At 40.1% G+C, this 18,157-nt stretch overlaps 1 protein-coding gene across 2 annotated transcripts; it reads left to right on the forward strand.

Moving 5' to 3' along the window:
* The first annotated feature begins 6,326 nt into the window (after positions 1 to 6,326).
* On the forward strand, positions 6,327 to 10,151 carry PAGE2 (PAGE family member 2). 2 transcript variants are annotated; one of them, XM_017029353.2, is made up of 5 exons: positions 6,327 to 6,554; positions 7,322 to 7,413; positions 7,811 to 7,919; positions 8,641 to 8,766; positions 10,024 to 10,151. In XM_017029353.2, the coding sequence occupies exons 2-5, from the start codon at positions 7,330 to 7,332 to the stop codon at positions 10,038 to 10,040; spliced, it is 336 nt and encodes a 111-aa protein (XP_016884842.1). In that variant the 5' UTR covers positions 6,327 to 6,554; positions 7,322 to 7,329; the 3' UTR covers positions 10,041 to 10,151. The 2 variants fall into 2 exon arrangements, with proteins under 2 accessions (XP_016884842.1, NP_997222.1); NM_207339.4 differs by having other exon boundaries at positions 6,327 to 6,412.
* The last annotated feature ends 8,006 nt before the right edge of the window (positions 10,152 to 18,157 follow it).

The raw sequence follows: 18,157 nt of genomic DNA on the forward strand, positions 1-18,157 counted from the left end.
AAGGCAGGCCTGACGGTGACAAAATCCCTCAGCATTTGCTGTTCTGGAAAGGATTTTGTTTCTCCTTCCCTTACGAAGCTTAGTTTGGCCGGATATGAAATTCTGGGTTGAAAATTCTGTCTTTAGGCTGAGACAATGGAGTTTTCTAGATATGCAATCATGTCGTCTGCAAACAGGGACAAGTTGACTTCCTCTTTTCCTAATTGAATACCCTTTATTTCCTTCTCCTGCCTAATTGCCCTGGCCAGAACTTCCAACACTGTGTTGAATAGGAGTAGTGAGAGAGGGCATCCCTGTCTTGTGCCAGTTTTCAAAGGGAATGCTTCCAGTTTTTGCCCATTCAGTATGATATTGGCTGTGGGTTTGTCATAGATAGCTCTTATTATTTTGAGATACGTCCCATCAATACCTAATTTATTGAGAGTTTTTAGCATGAAGGGTTATTGAATTTTGTCAAAGGCCTTTGCTGCATCTATTGAGATAATCATGTGGTTTTTGTCTTTGGTTCTGTTTATATGCTGGATTACATTTATTGATTTGCATATATTGAACCAGCCTTGCATCCCAGGGATGAAGCCCACTTGATCATGCTGGATAAGCTTTTTGATGTGCTGCTGGATTTGGTTTGCCAGTATTTTATTGAGGATTTTTGCATCAATGTTCATCAAGGATATTGGTCTAAAATTCTCTTTTTTGGTTGTGTCTCTGCCCGGCTTTGGTATCAGGATGATGCTGGCCTCATAAAATGAGTTAGGGAGGATTCCCTCTTTTTCTATTCATTGGAATAGTTTCATAAGGGATGGTACCAGTTCCTCCTTGTACCTCTGGTAGAATTCGGCTGTGAATCCATCTGGTCCTGGACTCTTTTTGGTTGGTAAGCTATTGATTATTGCCACAATTTCAGAGCCTGTTATTGGTCTATTCAGAGATTCAGCTTCTTCCTGGTTTAGTCTTGGGAGAGTGTATGTGTCGAGGAATTTATCCATTTCTTCTAGATTTTCTAGTTTATTTGCGTAGAGGTGTTTGTAGTATTCTCTGAGGGTAGTTTGTATTTCTGTGGGATTGGTGGTGATATCCCCTTTATCATTTTTTATTGCATCTATTTGATTCTTCTCTCTTTTTTTCTTTATTAGTCTTGCTAGCGGTCTATCAATTTTGTTGATCCTTTCAAAAAACCAGCTCCTGGATTCATTAATTTTTTGAAGGGTTTTTTTGGTCTCTATTTCCTTCAGTTCTGCTCTGATTTTTGTTATTTCTTGCCTTCTGCTAGCTTTTGAATGTGTTTGCTCTTGCTTTTCTAGTTCTTTTAATTGTGATGTTAGGGTGTCCATTTTGGATCTTTCCTGCTTTCTGTTGTGGGCATTTAGTGCTATAAATTTCCCTCTACACACTGCTTTGAATGTGTCCCAGAGATTCTGGTATGTTGTGTCTTTGTTCTCGTTGGTTTCAAAGAACATCTTTATTTCTGCCTTCATTTCGTTATGTACCCAGTAGTCATTCAGGAGCAGGTTGTTCAGTTTCCATGTAGGTGAGCGGTTTTGAGTGAGTTTCTTAATCCTGAGTTCTAGTTTGATTGCACTGTGATCTGAGAGACAGTTTGTTATAATTTCTGTTCTTTTACATTTGCTGAGGAGTGCTTTACTTCCAACTATGTGGTCAATTTTGGAATAGGTGTGGTGTGGTGCTGAAAAAAAATGTATATTCTGTTGATTTGGGGTGGAGAGTTCTGTAGATGTCTATTAGGTCCGCTTGGTGCAGAGCTGAGTTCAATTCCTGGGTATCCTTGTTAACTTTCTGTCTAATGTTGACAGTGGGGTGTTAAAGTCTCCCATTATTATTGTGTGGGAGTCTTAAGTCTCTTTGTAGGTCACTCAGGACTTGCTTTATGAATCTGGGTGCTCCTGTATTGGGTGCATATATATTTAGGATAGTTAGCTCTTCTTGTTGAATTGATCCCTTTACCATTATGTAATGGCCTTCTTTGTCTCTTTTGATCTTTGTTGGTTTAAAGTGTGTTTTATCAGAGACTAGGATTGCAACCCCTGCCTTTTTTTGTTTTCAATTTGCTTGGTAGATCTTCCTCCATCCTTTTATTTTGAGCCTATGTGTGTCTCTGCATGTGAGTTGCGTTTCCTGAACACAGCACACTGATGGGTCTTGACTCTTTATCCAATTTGCCAGTCTGTGTCTTTTAATTGGAGCATGTAGTCCATTTACATTTAAAGTTAATATTGTTATGTGTGAATTTGATCCTGTCATTATGATGTTAGCTGGTTATTTTGCTCGTTAGTTGATGCAGTTTCTTCCTAGTCTCGACGGCCTTTACATTTTGGCATGATTTTGCAGCGGCTGGTACTGGTTGTGCCTCACACCAGTTAGAATGGCAGTCATTAAAAAGTCAGGAAACAACAGGTGCTGGAGAGAATGTGGAGAAATAGGAACACTTTTACATTGTTGGTGGGACTGGAAACTAGTTCAGCCATTGTGGAAGTCAGTGTGGCGATTCCTCAGGGATCTAGAACTAGAAATACATTTGACTCAGCCATCCCATTACTGGGTATATACCCAAAGGACTATAAATCATGCTGCTATAAAGACACATGCACACGTATGTTTATTGCGGCACTATTCACAATAGCAAAGACTTGGAACCAACCCAAATGTCCAACAATGATAGACTGGATGAAGAAAATGTGGCACATATACACCATGGAATACTATGCAGCCATAAAAAATGATGAGTTCATGTCCTTTATAGGGACATGGGTGAAATTGGAAATCATCATTCTCAGTAAACTATCACAAAGACAAAAAACCAAACACTGCATGTTCTCACTCACAGATGGGAATTGAACAATGACAACACATGGACACAGGAAGGGGAACATCACACTCTGGGGACTGTTGTGGGGTGTGGGGATGGGGGAGGGATAGCATTAGGAGATATACTTAATGCTAAATCACGAGTTAATGGGTGCAGCACACCAGCATGGCACATGTATACATATGTAACTAACCTGCACATTGTGCACATATACCCTAAAACTTAAAGTATAATAATAATAAAAAATAAAAATAAATAAATAAATAAATAAAAATAAAAGAAAATTCTTTCTTTATGAATGTTGAATACTGGCCCCCACTCTCTTCTGGCTTGTAGGGTTTCTGTAGAGAGATCCGCTGTTAGTCTGATGAGCTTCCCTTTGTAGGTAACCTGACCTTTCTCTGTGGCTGCCATTAACATTTTTTCCTTTTTTTCAACCTTGGAGAATCTGATGATTATTGTCTTGAGATTGCTCTTCCCAAGGAGTAGCAGAGTGGTGTTTTCTGTATTTCTTGAATTTGAATGTTGGCCTGTCTTGCGCGGTTGAGGAAGTTCTCCTGGATAATATCCTGGGTCTCTGGGAAATGAGCACACAGTTTCCTACAATGGTTGAACTAATTTACACTTCCACCAACAGTGAATACATGTTTTTTTTCTCTACTATGTCACCAGCATCTGTTATTTTATTGTATTTTTTTACTTTTTAATAATAGCCGTCCTGACTGGTGTGAGATGATATCTCATTGTGGTTTGAATTGCATTTCTCCAATGATCAGTGACTTTGAACTTTGTTTCATGTGCTTGTTGGCCACGTGCACGTCTTCCTTTGAAAGTGTCTGTTCATGTCCTTGGCGCACTTTTTAATGGTATGGATTGTTTTGTTTTGTTTTGTTTATTGACATGCAGTCTCGGTCTGTTGCCCAGGCTGGAGTGCAGTGGCACGATCTCCACTCACTATAACCTCCACTTCCCAGGTTCAAGCTATTCTGCTGCCTCAACTACGCTAGTATCTGGGATTACAGGTGTGCACCACCTCGCACAGCTAATTTTTGTATTTTATGATAGAGCCAGGGTTTTCCATCTTGGCCAGGCTGGTCTTGAAATCCTGGCTTCCAGTGATCTGCCCATCTTGGCCTCACAAAGTGCTGGGATTACAGGTGTGCACCACCTCGCACAGCTAATTTTTGTATTTGATGATAGAGCCAGGGTTTTCCATCTTGGCCAGGCTGGTCTTGAAATCCTGGCCTCCAGTGATCTGCCCATCTTGGCCTCACAAAGTGCTGGAATTACAGGTGTGAGGCACCACGCGTGGCGTGTCATTTTAGTGTTTTTTGTTTGTTTGTTTTTTGGTAAATTTCTTTAAGTTCTTTATAGATGCTGGATACAAAACCTTAGACAGATGCATAGTTTGCAAACATTTTCTTCCATTCTGTGTGTTGGTTGTTGTCTCTGTGGATAGTTTTGTTTTTTTTTTTTTTTTTTTTTTTTTTGCTGTGCAGGAGCTCTTTAGTTTAATTAGATCCCATTTGTCAATGTTTGCTTTTGTTGCCATTGCTTTTGGCATCTTCGTTATGAAACCTTTGCCTTTTCCTGTGTCCGGAGTGACGTTGCCTACGTTGTCTTCCGGGGTTTTTACAGATTTGGGTTTTACATTTAAGTTCTTAATCCACCTTTAGTTAATTTTTTTAATAAGAAGTGGTCCAGTTTCAGTCTTTTACATACAGCTAGCCAGTTATCTCAGCACCATTTATTGAATAGGGATTCCTGTCTACATTGCTTGTTTTTGTCAACTTTGTTGAAGATCAGGTGGTAATAGGTGTGAGGTGTGCAGCATTATTTCTGGGCTGTGTATTCTATTTCATTGGTCTCTGTGACTGTTTTGGTACCGGTACCATGCTGTTTGGATTACCGTGGCCTTGTATTATAGTCTGAAGTCAGGTAATATGATGCTTTTGGCTTCATTCTTATTGCTTAGGATTGCCTTGGTTATTTGGGCTCTTTTTTGGTTCCATATGAATTTTAAAGTACTTTTTTTCTAATTCTGTGAGGAATGTCATTGGTACTTTAATAGGAATATCATTGAATGTATGAATTGCTTTGGTCAATTAGGCCATTTTGCCAGTATTGCTTATTCCTGTTCACGAGCATGAAATGTTTTTCCATTTGTTTGTGTCATCTCTGATTTCTTTGAGCAGTGTTTTGTAGTTCTCATAGTAGAGATTGTTCTCCTCCCTCGTTAGCTGTATTCCTAGGTATTTTATTTTTTTTTTTTGTGGCAATTGTGAATGGGATTGTGTTTCTGATTTGGCTCTGCGCTTGAAGGTAGTTGGTGTACAGAAACACTTCTGGTTTTTATACATTAATTTTGTATCTTGAAGCTTTCCTGAAGTTGTTTATAAGATCAAGGAGCTTTTGGGCAGAGATTCTGGGATTTTCTAGGTATAGAATCACATGGTTTCCAAACAGATTGTTTGACTTGTGTGAAAAACATAGTGGAGTAGAAGCAAACACGTGTCAGCAATGGAATAGAAAAATAAAAGTGCCCATGAATAAATTTAATTTGAATGTGAAGAACTAATATGAAGCAAATAACACAATCATTGTGTGGGATATGTTAAAAGACTTGAGGAATTGAGGAGTGGCTTTTTTTTTTTGATAGAGAGATTCTAAAATAGAAAGATGGCTATTGTCCCAGAGTTAACATGTAATATAAAAATAATAACTAGTGTCTCAACAGTAATATTTTAGCACCTGATCAAATGATTCTGAAGTTCATCTGAAAGACCAACGTGTCAGAATTGATAGAAAAGGAGAAATCAATGAGGGAGGGCAAGCATTATTTCACATTTCAAATATAATTAAGCTACAGCAATTAAAATAGTGTAGTAGTGGTACAGGTATAAACAACTCAATGGAAGAAAATTAAAAGAAGAGAGTTACATACAAAATTGAGTGGGGATGTAGGTGATGATAAGAGCCATTTCAAAACAGTGGGTGAAACAGGGATTCAACAAATAATGTTGAGTTCCTACCACTTTAATTTTGTCCAGATGGATCAAAGATTTTGAACGTACAATAATGCAACCAAAAACTATGAATGTCTTATGATATTGCAGTGGGTGAGACCATTGCAAGCATGACAGCAAACTCGTGAAGGAGGCAAGAAAATGATTTATGGAAGCGTATATAAAACAGGTATTAAAATATTTAAGATTTATTTCTATGATGGTGAATTTTTCTGAAACACATTATTAGAGTAACCTGAGGCTCATATTCTCTAACGCCACTGGAAGTGAAAGAAAGGGTGGGCGGGGAAAAAAGAAAAGTGCTTTGCAAGTTCATTTTCGTTGTCAGGAGCGCTGGTGGTTTACTCCACAGAGGCAGGAAAACTTCAGTCACGAGGCGAATACCCCACTCAGTGCGCATGCTGCACAGACCTGTTGGTGCCCATGTCTGTTGCTATGCGTGTCTGTTGTTGCGCAGGCGCCTTGCTGCCCGTCTTGTGTCCGCACAGAGGTCTGCAAGGAGAGAGAGTGTCTTCATTCTTTCCGCCATCTTGATTCTTTCTCACTGACCAAGACTCAGCCGGTAGGTCTGCAGAACGGTGTTACTGGGAATTTAGTTGTGAGAGAATGTGTGGAGGAGCCAGCTGGCTTTGGACAGGTCCTGCGGCACAGTCTGTGGCTTCTGAGGGAAAAGGGCCTCGGGGCCGTCATCCAGCTCCTCCCAGGTCGCGACGCCACCATGGGACTTGTCCTGACTGGGCTGGGATGAGGGAGGAAGGTGGGCCGCAGAGGGGAGGGATTGCCTGAAGATGGGGCAAGTGCTGGGGGTGCAGTTAGCGGTGTTTGAGTCTCGAAAACTCCTGGAACCCTCTGAGAGAGGACAGTTTCCAAACTCCTCAGTAGGGACGCGGGAAGGGACCGTGTGGTCAGTAACGAAGGGGCTTGGGAACTGGGAGCGCGGTGGGCTGGTGACTGTGGCCCCGAGGTCTGTAGAGTGCCTGGCAGAGGTGTCCTGTGAGGAGCATAACGTTCACTCTGTTTCACAATTTCTCACCTCCGCCATGGACATCATAGGAAGGAATGGGCGAGGCTGTGCTTTCCAACAAGACTTGATTTTGAGAGGGGTGTGGGGGTGAAATGGGCCTAGCAAATCAGAGTGGGACAAAAGCAGTAGTCATTTCAGTTTCAATTCTCTGCCCGTTTTTTCCTAAATGTCTTCATGATGGAGAGTCTAATTGTGAAACCAAAACGCAGAAATGTCCTCTGTCTTTTGCTATGGCGTTAAGGGGATTTCTATGCCTCTTCGACTATGATACAAACAAATCTGTCCTTAGTTTGATTCGAAAGCATGTGTACTTATCATTGCTCTGTGACTTAATTTGAAAATATTTTCAAAATTAAAAAAGTACAAATCACCATTTTGCCGTGGAATGTTCATATATATAACTAAGTTCTTACACACTTTTTCCAAATAACAATATTCTGTTTGCAGTGGGAAATATGAGTGAGCTTCTAAGAGCAAGATCCCAATCCTCAGAAAGAGGAAATGACCAAGAGTCTTCCCAGCCGGTTGGATCTGTGATTGTGAGTCTTTTAACATTTGATGTTTTCTATTAACACAATTTATTTTAAAAATATTTTTGAGCTAGTATACATACACTGATACAGGTGTTCCATGCTGATAAAAAATGATGATGGCATCTCATGAAGGAAACTTTGGTTCAGGAATACTATATTCTGGTGTTACCTGTATGGATATGGATATTTCTCTCTCTCTCTCTATCTCTATGTATGTATCTGTCTGTCTGTCTATCTATCTATCTATCTATCTATCTATCTATCTATCATCTATCTATCTATATGTGTGTGTATGTGTTTATATATGTTGGAAAAATGTCTTTAGATGTGTGATTCGATGCACATATGCATTTGTGTATTTATATTATTGACTTTTTATTCACACACACACTTACACCCTTAGGTCCAGGAGCCCACTGAGGAAAAACGTCAAGAAGAGGAACCACCAACTGATAATCAGGGTATTGCACCTAGTGGGGAGATTGAAAATCAAGCAGTGCCTGCTTTTCAAGGTGAAGGGAGAGTGGAAAATAATGCTTATGGGTGGTGGAGGTCTATTTATGCATTGTATTTTATGACATACCAGTAACAGGAGGACAGAAAGCATTAGGAAGGAATCTTAAACATTTCCTACTGCTGCTGTGTGGAGGGGTGGGACAAGGATGCATAAAAAGCCACTAAGCTTTCCTACCACTTTGATGGAGGCTTTTTATTGATTGGGTATTTTCATGGTTGCCATAAACCTTTTTCCAGAGCTCCTGTATGCTTTGTTCAGCCATTTTCTGTTTTTTGTTGCTGTGGAAGAATGGCAGCTTGCAGCTTCCTAGTCTGCCATCTGTGGACACGTCATGTATTTTTTAAGAAACTTTTTAACACACCTTTATTGATGCTTCCTCATACCACGTAATATACTAAGTGCTGGAGATGTCAGTGCCAAATTTTTGCCTAAAGCTCATAGTCTAGTCAGACTGACTCAAACAAATGGCTGATTTAATGTGATAAGAATAAGAACAAATGAGTATAAAAGGGACAAGTAAGTTGTCTAGGGCCAGCCTTGGGAAAGAAAAGGGCAATGTTCGAATATCTCTGCTTTCCTGTTTTCCTGGCAGCAGATTCCTGAAATAATTAGCCTACCGGTTTTTATTTCATAATGATGAGGGAATAAATACTATCATTTCCTCGTTCATAGTTCATGTTTTAATTTGTAAATTGATGACCTTTTTATCTTTTAAGGGCCTGACATGGAAGCTTTTCAACAGGAACTGGCTCTGCTTAAGATAGAGGATGAGCCTGGAGATGGTCCTGATGTCAGGGAGGGTATTATGCCCACTTTTGATCTCACTAAAGTGCTGGAAGCAGGTTTGTTATTCATTTAAGATGCAAACTATTGTATTTCTATTTTCACAGTATTTTGTGTGACACAGAGGTAAAATTACTGCTACTTTAATATCATACTTCACGTCTGAAGGTTCTTTGAATGTAGTTCAGACCCCAAATGGCTGCCTTACACACTATCAGGGATAGAGGGCCAGGTGTGGTGGCTCATGCTTTTAATTCCAGCACTTTGGGAGGCCGAGGCAGAAGGATCACTTGAGGCCAAGACTTCAAGAGACAGAGAAAAATTGGGTCAAAACTAATTGGATTACGATATGAAAGAAATGAAACATGCTAAAACAGTAGATTTCAAGTGTCTTCACAGCTATATGAAGTAATGCATATATTAATTAGCTTGATGTAGCCATTTTACAATGTGTATATATATATATTTAAAACGTCATGTTTTACATGATAAATATATACAATTTTATGTGTCATTTTTAAAGAAAGATGAAAACGTGTTCTGACTTTTAAATGTAAGTCATTTTACCAACAGCCAATAATTTTCAAATATTTTTATAGAGGCCTGTTTTTAACAAATACATAACATGTTTATAATAAGCATCAGTTTATATTGTGATGTTAACTGTGTTGGTAATGGCTTAAAGCTAGCGTGGATATTCAGTTTACTGTATAAACTGAACTGCTTGTAGGCATGTAAAGAGGCAGGAGTACCCGTGAAAATAGTGACAAATGTTCGCCCTACTTAAAGCAACTACATGATGGCTACACTAGTCCAAAGTAACGTTTTTACACTTTTTCACAAGAGAGACAAAACAAATGTAATACTGACTTTTCTATTTCCTTCACTTAGGCCGTTCTAAGCATATTCTATATTCAGAGTGTCATTTCATATCAGACTATTTAAATGATACTTTAAAATATCTTTTTCCCTTAGGATTTTATTTCGTTGAATTTTCATTTAAAGTATATGTGTTTTTTTTTTTTTTGCTTTCCACTTATACATACAAAATACACTTGATTTAATTCATTCTGAACTTGAACAGTCTCTTCGTTTCCTTATTCTACTAGAAAAAGTGGCATGAATTAAAAATATTGTTAATATGCCTGGAAGTCTACCTTCAGAGTTTATTCAGAGGCTAACTGGCTGTAAGCTAAAGGGTCACTCACCCTCAGGGTTCTGATATTAGTTCATCAACACGGTAGTTGTATACCTCTAGTGTCATATGAATAAAAATCTGCTGAGTAACGGGCCCTAATTTAATATTTATTTTATAGGTGATGCGCAACCATAGGTTTCAAGCAAGACAAATGAAGACTGAAACCAAGAACGTTATTCTTAATCTGGAAATTTGACTGATAATATTCTCTTAATAAAGTTTTAAGTTTTCTGCAAAGAATCCTTACACAGTTTTGTTAAATTTATTTCTGGATCTTTAATACTCTTGAGAATTGTATCTTTTTTGAAAGTTTAAATCCTGTATTTGAGATGGTACATAGAGATAAAATGTTGGTACATTGATTTTCTATCATAGATAGATAGGAACCTGGACGCTTTCATAGGGGGATGCCAACAGCTGCACAGATGGAAAAGGCCACCTGGGGCCAGGCATGTCCACCATGGGCTTTCCACCTCCTCGTTTTTAGCACATGCACAGTAAGAATGAAATGAGCAACATGGAGTAGCTCAGGCTGAGGACCCGCCTGCATAATAAAAGATTAGGTTGGGGGCTGCCAGAGATTCACACCCTATGCAGATGGTACACCTGGTCCTAACCGGTTGTTTGTACCCTATGTAGGTGATCAGATACTACCTCCCCACTAGCTCATCTATAAAAACCCCTGCCTTTCACTGCTGGATGGCAACCGTTTTTTCTGGGACCCCTCTCTGTAGTAGAAAGCTGTTCTCTTTGTTTCTCCTATTAACTTTCTGCTCTACACCTCACTCTTGGTGTGCCCATGTCCTTGATTTCCTTGGCTGTGAGACCAAGAACCCTGGATGTTACCCCGGACAGCGAGGCCACTTCAATACTAGCTGTGGGTCTGTGGTATATGGCTTTTATTACATTGAAGTATGTTCCTTCTTTCCCCGGTGTTTTGAGGGTTTGTATCATGATGAAATATTGAGTTTTATTAAATGCTTTTCAGCATCGATCGAAATGACTATATGGTTTGTATCCTTCATTCTGTTGATAATGATTTATCACATACATTAATTTGCATATGTTGAACCATCCTTCCATCCCGGGGATAAATCTCACTTGGTCATGATGATGATTCTTTCTAGCGTATTGTTGAATTTGATTTGCTAGTATTCTGTTGAGGATTTCTGCATCAATATTCATCAGCGGTTTTGCCCTGTAGTTTTCTTTTTCTGATGTGTCTTTGTCTGGTTTTGGTATCAGGGTAATACTGGCCTCATAGAATTAGTTTCGAAGTATTCCCTCCTCCTCTATTTTTCAAAATAGTTTGAGTAGGATTGGTATTAGTCCTTCTTTAAATGTTGGGTAGAATTCAGTAGTGAAGCCATCAGGTCTGGCGTTTCTTTACTAGAAGACTTTTATTATGGCTTTGATCTTGTTGCTTGTTATTGGTCTGTTCAGGTTATGTACTGGTTTTTCCTTTTCATATTTAGTACTTCCTTCAGGAGGTCTTGTAAGGCAGGCCTGATGGTGACAAAATCCCTCAGCATTTGCTTTTCTGGAAAGGATTTTATTTCTCCTTCCCTTATGAAGCTTATTTTGGCTGGATGTGAAATTCTGGGTTGAAAATTCTTTTATGACTGCTGAATATTGGCCCCCACTCTCTTCTGGATTGTAGGGTTTCTGTAGAGAGATCCGCTATTAGTCTGATGTGCTTCCCTTTGTAGGTAACCTGATCTTATTCTTGGGCTGCCCTTAACATTTTTTCCTTTGTTACAACCTTGGAGAATCTGACGATTATTTGTCTTGAGGTTGCTCTTCCCAAGGAGTAATAGAGTGATGTTTTCTGTATTTCATGAATTTGAATGTTGGCCTGTCTTGGTAGGTTGGGGAAGTTCTCCTGGATAATATCCTAAGTGTGTTTTCCAACTTGATTCCATTCTCCTCGTCACTTTCAGGGACCCCAATCAATCATAGGTTTGGTCTTTTCACATAGTCCTATATCTCTTGGAGGCTTTGTTCATTTCTTGTCACTTTTCTTTCTCTGATCTTGTCTTCATGCCTTATTTTAGTAAGTCGATCTTCAAACTCTGATATCCTTTCTTCTGCTTGATTATTTCAGCTATTGATACTTGTGTATGCTTCACGAAGTTCTTGTCCTGTGTTGTTAAGCTCCATCAGGTCATTTATGTTCTTCTCTAAACTGGTTATTCTAGTTATCAGTTCATGTAGCCTTTTATCAAGGTTCTTAGCTTCCTTGCATTGGGTTAGAACATGCTCCTTTAGCTCTGAGGAGTTTGTTGTTACCCATCTTCTGAAGCCTACTTCTGACAGTTTGTCAAACTCATTCTTCATCCGGTTTTGTGCCCTTGCTGGAGAGGAGTTACCATCATTTGGAGAAGAGGCATTCTGGTTTTTGGAATTTTCAGGATTTTTGCACTGGTTTTTCCTCATCTTGGTGGATTTATCTACTTTTGATCTTTTAGGCTGATGACCTTTGGATGAGGTTTTTGTGTGGGGGTCCTTTTGTTGATGTTACTGCTTTCTGTTTTTTAGTTTTTCTTCTAATAGTCAGGCCCGTCTTCTGCAGGTCTGCTGCAGTTGCTGGAAGTCCTCTCCAGACCGTTTTCCTGGGTATCACCAGTGGAGGCTACAGAACAGCAAAGATTGCTTCCTGCTCCTTGCTCTGGAAGCTTTTTCCCAGAGGGGTACCACCCTGATGCCAGTCAGAGCTGTCCTGTATGAGGTATCTGTCGACCCCTGCTGGGAGGTCTCTCCCATTCAGGAGGCACAGGGGTCAGGGACCCACTTGAGGAGGCAGTCTGTCCCTTAGCAGAGCTCGAGCGCTGTGCTGGGAGAAACCTCCTTGTCAGAATCTGCTACTCCCTTCAGAGCCAGCAGGCAGTAACATTTGTCTGCTGCGGCTGCGCCCACAGCTGCCCCTTCCCACAGGTGCTCTGTCCCAGGTAGATGGGAGTATTATCTATAAGGGGCTGCTGCTTTTCTTTCAGAGATGCCCTGCCCAGTGAGGAGGAATCTAGAGAGGCAGTCTGGCCACACCTGCTTTGCCAAGCTGTGGTAAGTTCTGCTCAATCCGAACTTCCTGGCCTCCTTAACACTGTCAGGGGAAAACTGCCTACTCAAGCCTTAGTAATGGCAGACGCCCCTCCTCCCACCAAGTTCGATCATCCCAGGTCGACTTCAGCCTGCTGTGCTGGCAGTGAGAATTTCAAGCCAGTGGTTCTTATCTTGCTGGGCTCCATGGGAGTGGGATCCGCTGAGCGAGACCACTGGTTCTCTGGCTTCAGCCCACTTTCCAGTGGAGTGAAGGGTTCTGTCATGCTGTGGTTCCAAGCTCACGCTTCCCTTGCCTGGGAAAGGGAGGCCGTCCAGCTCCTTGCAGTGTGATAGTACTTGATACTCAACAAAGTGTAACTACTATACCTGTTATTAATAATAAAAAATAATAGTAATGAGTGACCATAGCAAATCCCTCTGCATGAATTCACTAGGGTTTGTGACTGTTGTTCTACACTTTGACCAGAAGCATCTAGTGGTTGTGCATTCTTCACATGATTTTCATTCATAACAAAGGTTTGATAGACTCTTACTCCCTCAACCTCAAATCTGCCATCAGAATGGGCCTGCATTCCATAATTCACTGAAGAGATACCTTGTTACAGTCCTGAATAGAGATTGTGGCTGGGGCTGGGACCAGGGAGCTGCGGAGGTGAGATCTGATGGTGAGACTGAATGAAGGATGTTGCTGAAGAAAATGTTATGGAGGAGGAGGCTGATGCCCACACAGCATCCTTAGGGAAACGGTAGAAGTTTTCACAGGAGATTTTGTGACTTTTTGCTGTGGGGTCTGCAGCATCAGTGCTCTTTCCTGTCCTGACAATGTCCCCTCCCCCAGATGATCCTACCTCCAGCCCTCAGTAATTGGTTGCTCATTTAGGTGAGTGTCTGTGTGTCATCCAAGTGGTGGGTGTTGTATAATAGATTCAGTGATGGGAAGAGCTACTGTTTACTTAATCTACTGAGTTCCCAAGTGTTTTACATGTATTATCTCACTTAGATCTCACAATGTCCATGTAGAGTAACTATTTCCCTTATCTCTTTTATACAGATGAGGAATCTGAGGCTCAGCATGGTTAAGGGAGACAACATTCTCACAGCCTGTAGAACCTGTAGAGCTTGGAGATTAGGAAAGTGGACTCCTGGGTGGAATACCTGGCTCTTCTTCTTAGAAGAGCTATGTGATCTGGAGCTAATCACTTAATATCTAAGCTTCAATTTCTTCACCTATAAAGTGGGAATAAGCAGCACATCAAAACATTCAGTCTGTTTTTGCTCAGTGCACAATGTTGCAGTTTGAAATCTATCCTGCTGCAGGTTCTCTTTATCTCACTCTCCCTGCCTTCCCCCTGCATACACAAGCCTCTCACAACAGTGTGTATGCTGGTGTAGGGAATACTGTGCTTGACTCCGCAACATCCATTGTATTCCAAGATCTTTCCATCTCAGACTTTAATGGTCATCCTTTCTATCTTCAGAAATGGGTATGTGACCCAGTGTTGGCCTAGGTGAAAGAAGAAAATATATCCTGGGGACTCCTGTGAAATAATTTTTTGCTCCTAGGAAATAGCAGACACACAAATTCCTCTTTTGCTTAGGGATATAAACATTTTAATCCATGAGGCCTGGAAAAATTATAGCTATCTTGAGACCACCTTGAGGTTTAACCCAGCATGTAAAAGGGTAGAGCACATAGGAAAGAACTTGGGTACATGACGACATCTTTAGTCCCTTGAAATGTCAAAGGAGGATTAGAGTACTTAGCTTGAACATCTGTTGGGAGGCTCGAGTGAAATGAGCATAAGACCTGCAATTCTTCTTGGAAAAAGGAACAGCCAGCTCCTTTGCCACTCACAGCCTTCATGACTGGCTTCATCCTCTAGCCTTGTCTCTCCATCCTCTTTCATATTTACATATTCATTCATTCATTTAATGAAATAAGCAGGCAGTGAGGGCCTGTGCTGCACCATGGCCTGCTCTAGGAATAGGGGATAAAGCAGTGGCCACAACAGATAGCACATCTGCTTTACTGGACCCCATGTTCCTTCATAGAAGAGAGAGTGTATACTAATAGACAAATATAAACATGATGGAAACCTAATGGGCTTGTTTTCTGTAACTTTTTCCCTTCAGGGACCATGAATAGTTTTGTGTGTAAGGACTGAGAATCTCAAGGCACATGTAGAATTGGGGCTACTCAATTACATGTCTCATGCATTGATTGGTTCTTTGGCTAAACACAGCAGGCTTTTCTTGGGGCTTTCTTTTTTCTGCAACCATTGGGTTCTCTGGATTGCCTGCTTCTCCAGTTTCCATTGTGGAATATATAAGGCAGTAAGAACATTCAGGGCATGAAGCAGAAGGAAGCAGATTCCTCCACCCACAGCACGAATTTCTGCATGTTGGTGCTAGTGCCTCAGCTTAATAGATACAGGAGCTTTCCATTTGGTCTGGTATCTCTTGTGTGGGAGTGCTAATAGCATGCTCATGCCTGCTGCATGGATCTCATGGAATCATTGGGTTAATTAAAAATTGTTGAGGGTGTAGGTATTTAGCTTTGTTTTTCATGACAAATAATTGATAATCACTCATTAATCGTTTACCTTTTTCTGAAAGATACTCTGCATTATGTGTGTTTGTATGTGTGTATGTGTGTGTATATAGATCTTTTATATGTGTATATATGTATATATACATATATAAGGGATATGTGTATATATACATATATAAGGGATAAACTGCCTGTCACATATATGTGTATAGCTATAAGACATGCAGATTATATATATATATATACACACACACACACACACACACACTATGTATCTTTTATGTGTGTGTGTATATATGTATTATATGTATTGGATTTTGACAAGGAACTGGGTGAGCTGCAGGTTAAATTATGTGTGTGTATATGTATATTATATATATACATATAAACACACACACATATATAAAAGACATGCAGATTATCCCTATGTCCTCTTCTCTGACTGTTCTTCCCATGGCCCTCCTTTGCCTGAACTCAACTACCCCACACAGACTTGCCTTCAATATTTATGCACCTTGGTTGTTCTTTTCAGACTAACTTACTGAGTAGAAGTTTACCAGGTCCAACAGGATCCTGTCGTTGTCACCCTGTCATCTTCTGCCTTCTGTTCAGGCCTCATTCCTGCTCCCAGCTGCACTGGTGTCCTTGCAGTGTCTGTGCTTTGTCAGGCAGGCTCTGCCTCTGACACTTTTTCCAAACTGTTTGATCTGTCTGGAAAGTTCTGACCCCATGTATCTGCTTGGCTGACTCCTCTGCCCTTTCACATCTTCGTCAAAATGTCACTTTCTCAATGCAGCCTACCCTGGTCACTCTGTGTAATAATTTAATCTGCAGCTCACCCAGTTCCTTGTCAAACTCCAAATTTCCCTTGCCTTGCTTGACTCTCCCCTTTTCTACAGCACTTAACACTTTCTAAAATACCGTGCAATTTGTGAATTTAGCACACTGACTAGTTACAGTCTTTCTCAATGTCACCACCTTCAGAATCTAAGACATTGCCTGAAAGCTGGCAGGTGTCAATGAATGTTTGTTGAACTAATTGATCTTTTGGAAGTAGCATAAATAGGAACATCATTTCCATTCCTGTCAGGAGATAAGATGGAATTTACCTTCGTAGGCACAATATGTGTGACTTTAAAAAAAATTGCATACATTGCAAATCTGTCTAGTCAGCTATGAGGTGTTCAATGGCTAGAACATGAGAAATTTTTCTATGAAATTCCACATAGTAGCTGGCACAGTTCTCAATCTAGTGTGAAATTTAAGTACCATTTCCCAAGTCTCAAACAGTAAATGACATCTTTAGAGTTTATGTTTCTGATGCATATAAGTATTTTTCATTTAATATATATTTTTGATTCAAAAAGTATCATTTGATAAATGCAATGATAAACTATTGTGAAAACCATACTATGGGATATCTTAAATATCACAGTAGGTGTAATGGTACATCTAATAGTTTGTACTATTCTAAGAACTTTTTTCTATTTTGTTTCATTTGATCATCATGTCAGACCTTCCAAAAATACCATCTGTACATCCATGATATCTTTTTTTTTTTTTTTTTTGAGACGGAGTCTCGCTCTGTCACCCAGGCTGGAGTGCAGTGGCGTGATCTTGGCTCACTGCAAGCTCCGCCTCCCGGGTTCACGCCATTCTCCTGCCTCAGCCTCCCGAGTAGCTGGGACTACAGGCGCCTGCCAACACGCCCGGCTATTTTTTTTTTTTTTTTTGTATTTTTACTAGAGACGGGGTTTCACCGTGTTAGCCAGGATGGTCTCGATCTCCTGACCTCATGATCCGCCCGCCTCGGCCTTCCAAAGTGCTGGGATTACAGGCGTGAGCCACCGATAAAGATATCACCTCCGTGATATCTTTAGTAAGAGGATTAAGAGATATATAACTAATTTAACTAACATACTAGGAAGCATTTCTTACACTTTACTGACATAATTGCATTTAGTTCATATAGCTGAAGTCCTCTGTGTTTGGTAATATTACAATTCCTTTTTCTCAGATCAGAACGCTGAGGCACAAAGAACTTGTGTAATTTGCAAATGATTGCAGAGTTTTAAAATAGCATAGAAGGGATTAGAATTCATGGAGGTTATTTTGGAGTATAATAAAATGCATCCTTAAAAAAAAGCTACCTTGCTCATTGTGTTAGTAGGGATGATTCTGAATGAAAGTAACAGAATATTCCTACCTAAACTGTTTCAAGCCACGAAGCAATTCCTATTCATTAACAAAAAATGAGTGGGTTTTGTTGGTACAGGTATTGGAGGGGCCTACAAAGAGTTCCAATGAGATATCAGTAGATATCTATTACAGCAGCTGAATTGGCTATTATAAATGAGAGCAAATGTCCACAAAAAGACTTGTTCATAGAAGCTTTGTTTGTAATAGCCCAAATCTTAGAGCCAACATGTCCATCAAGAGGTGAATGGATAAAGAAACCATGGCATATCCATACCATGGAATGCTAATCAGCAACTTTTGATACACACAACAAACTGTATGGACCTTGAGGGCATTATGCTGAATGGAAAAGGCCAACCCCAAAAGGACACATATTGCATGATTCTTTTTTAAGTAACAGTCTTAAAATGAAATGATTAGAGAGATGGAGAACAGTTGAGTT

The sequence above is a fragment of the Homo sapiens genome, chromosome X (genome assembly GCF_000001405.40).
Source record: "Homo sapiens chromosome X, GRCh38.p14 Primary Assembly".
Classification (NCBI taxonomy): domain Eukaryota; kingdom Metazoa; phylum Chordata; class Mammalia; order Primates; family Hominidae; genus Homo; species Homo sapiens.

Coding starts and splice junctions, on each gene's coding strand:
- PAGE2 (XM_017029353.2), top strand. CDS start 7,330: ATGAGTGAGCTTCTAAGAGCAAGATCCCAATCCTCAGAAAGAGGAAAT. Junction 7,414..7,810: donor AGCCGGTTGGATCTGTGATT/GTGAGTCTTTTA, acceptor TTACACCCTTAG/GTCCAGGAGCCCACTGAGGA. Junction 7,920..8,640: donor AGCAGTGCCTGCTTTTCAAG/GTGAAGGGAGAG, acceptor TTATCTTTTAAG/GGCCTGACATGGAAGCTTTT.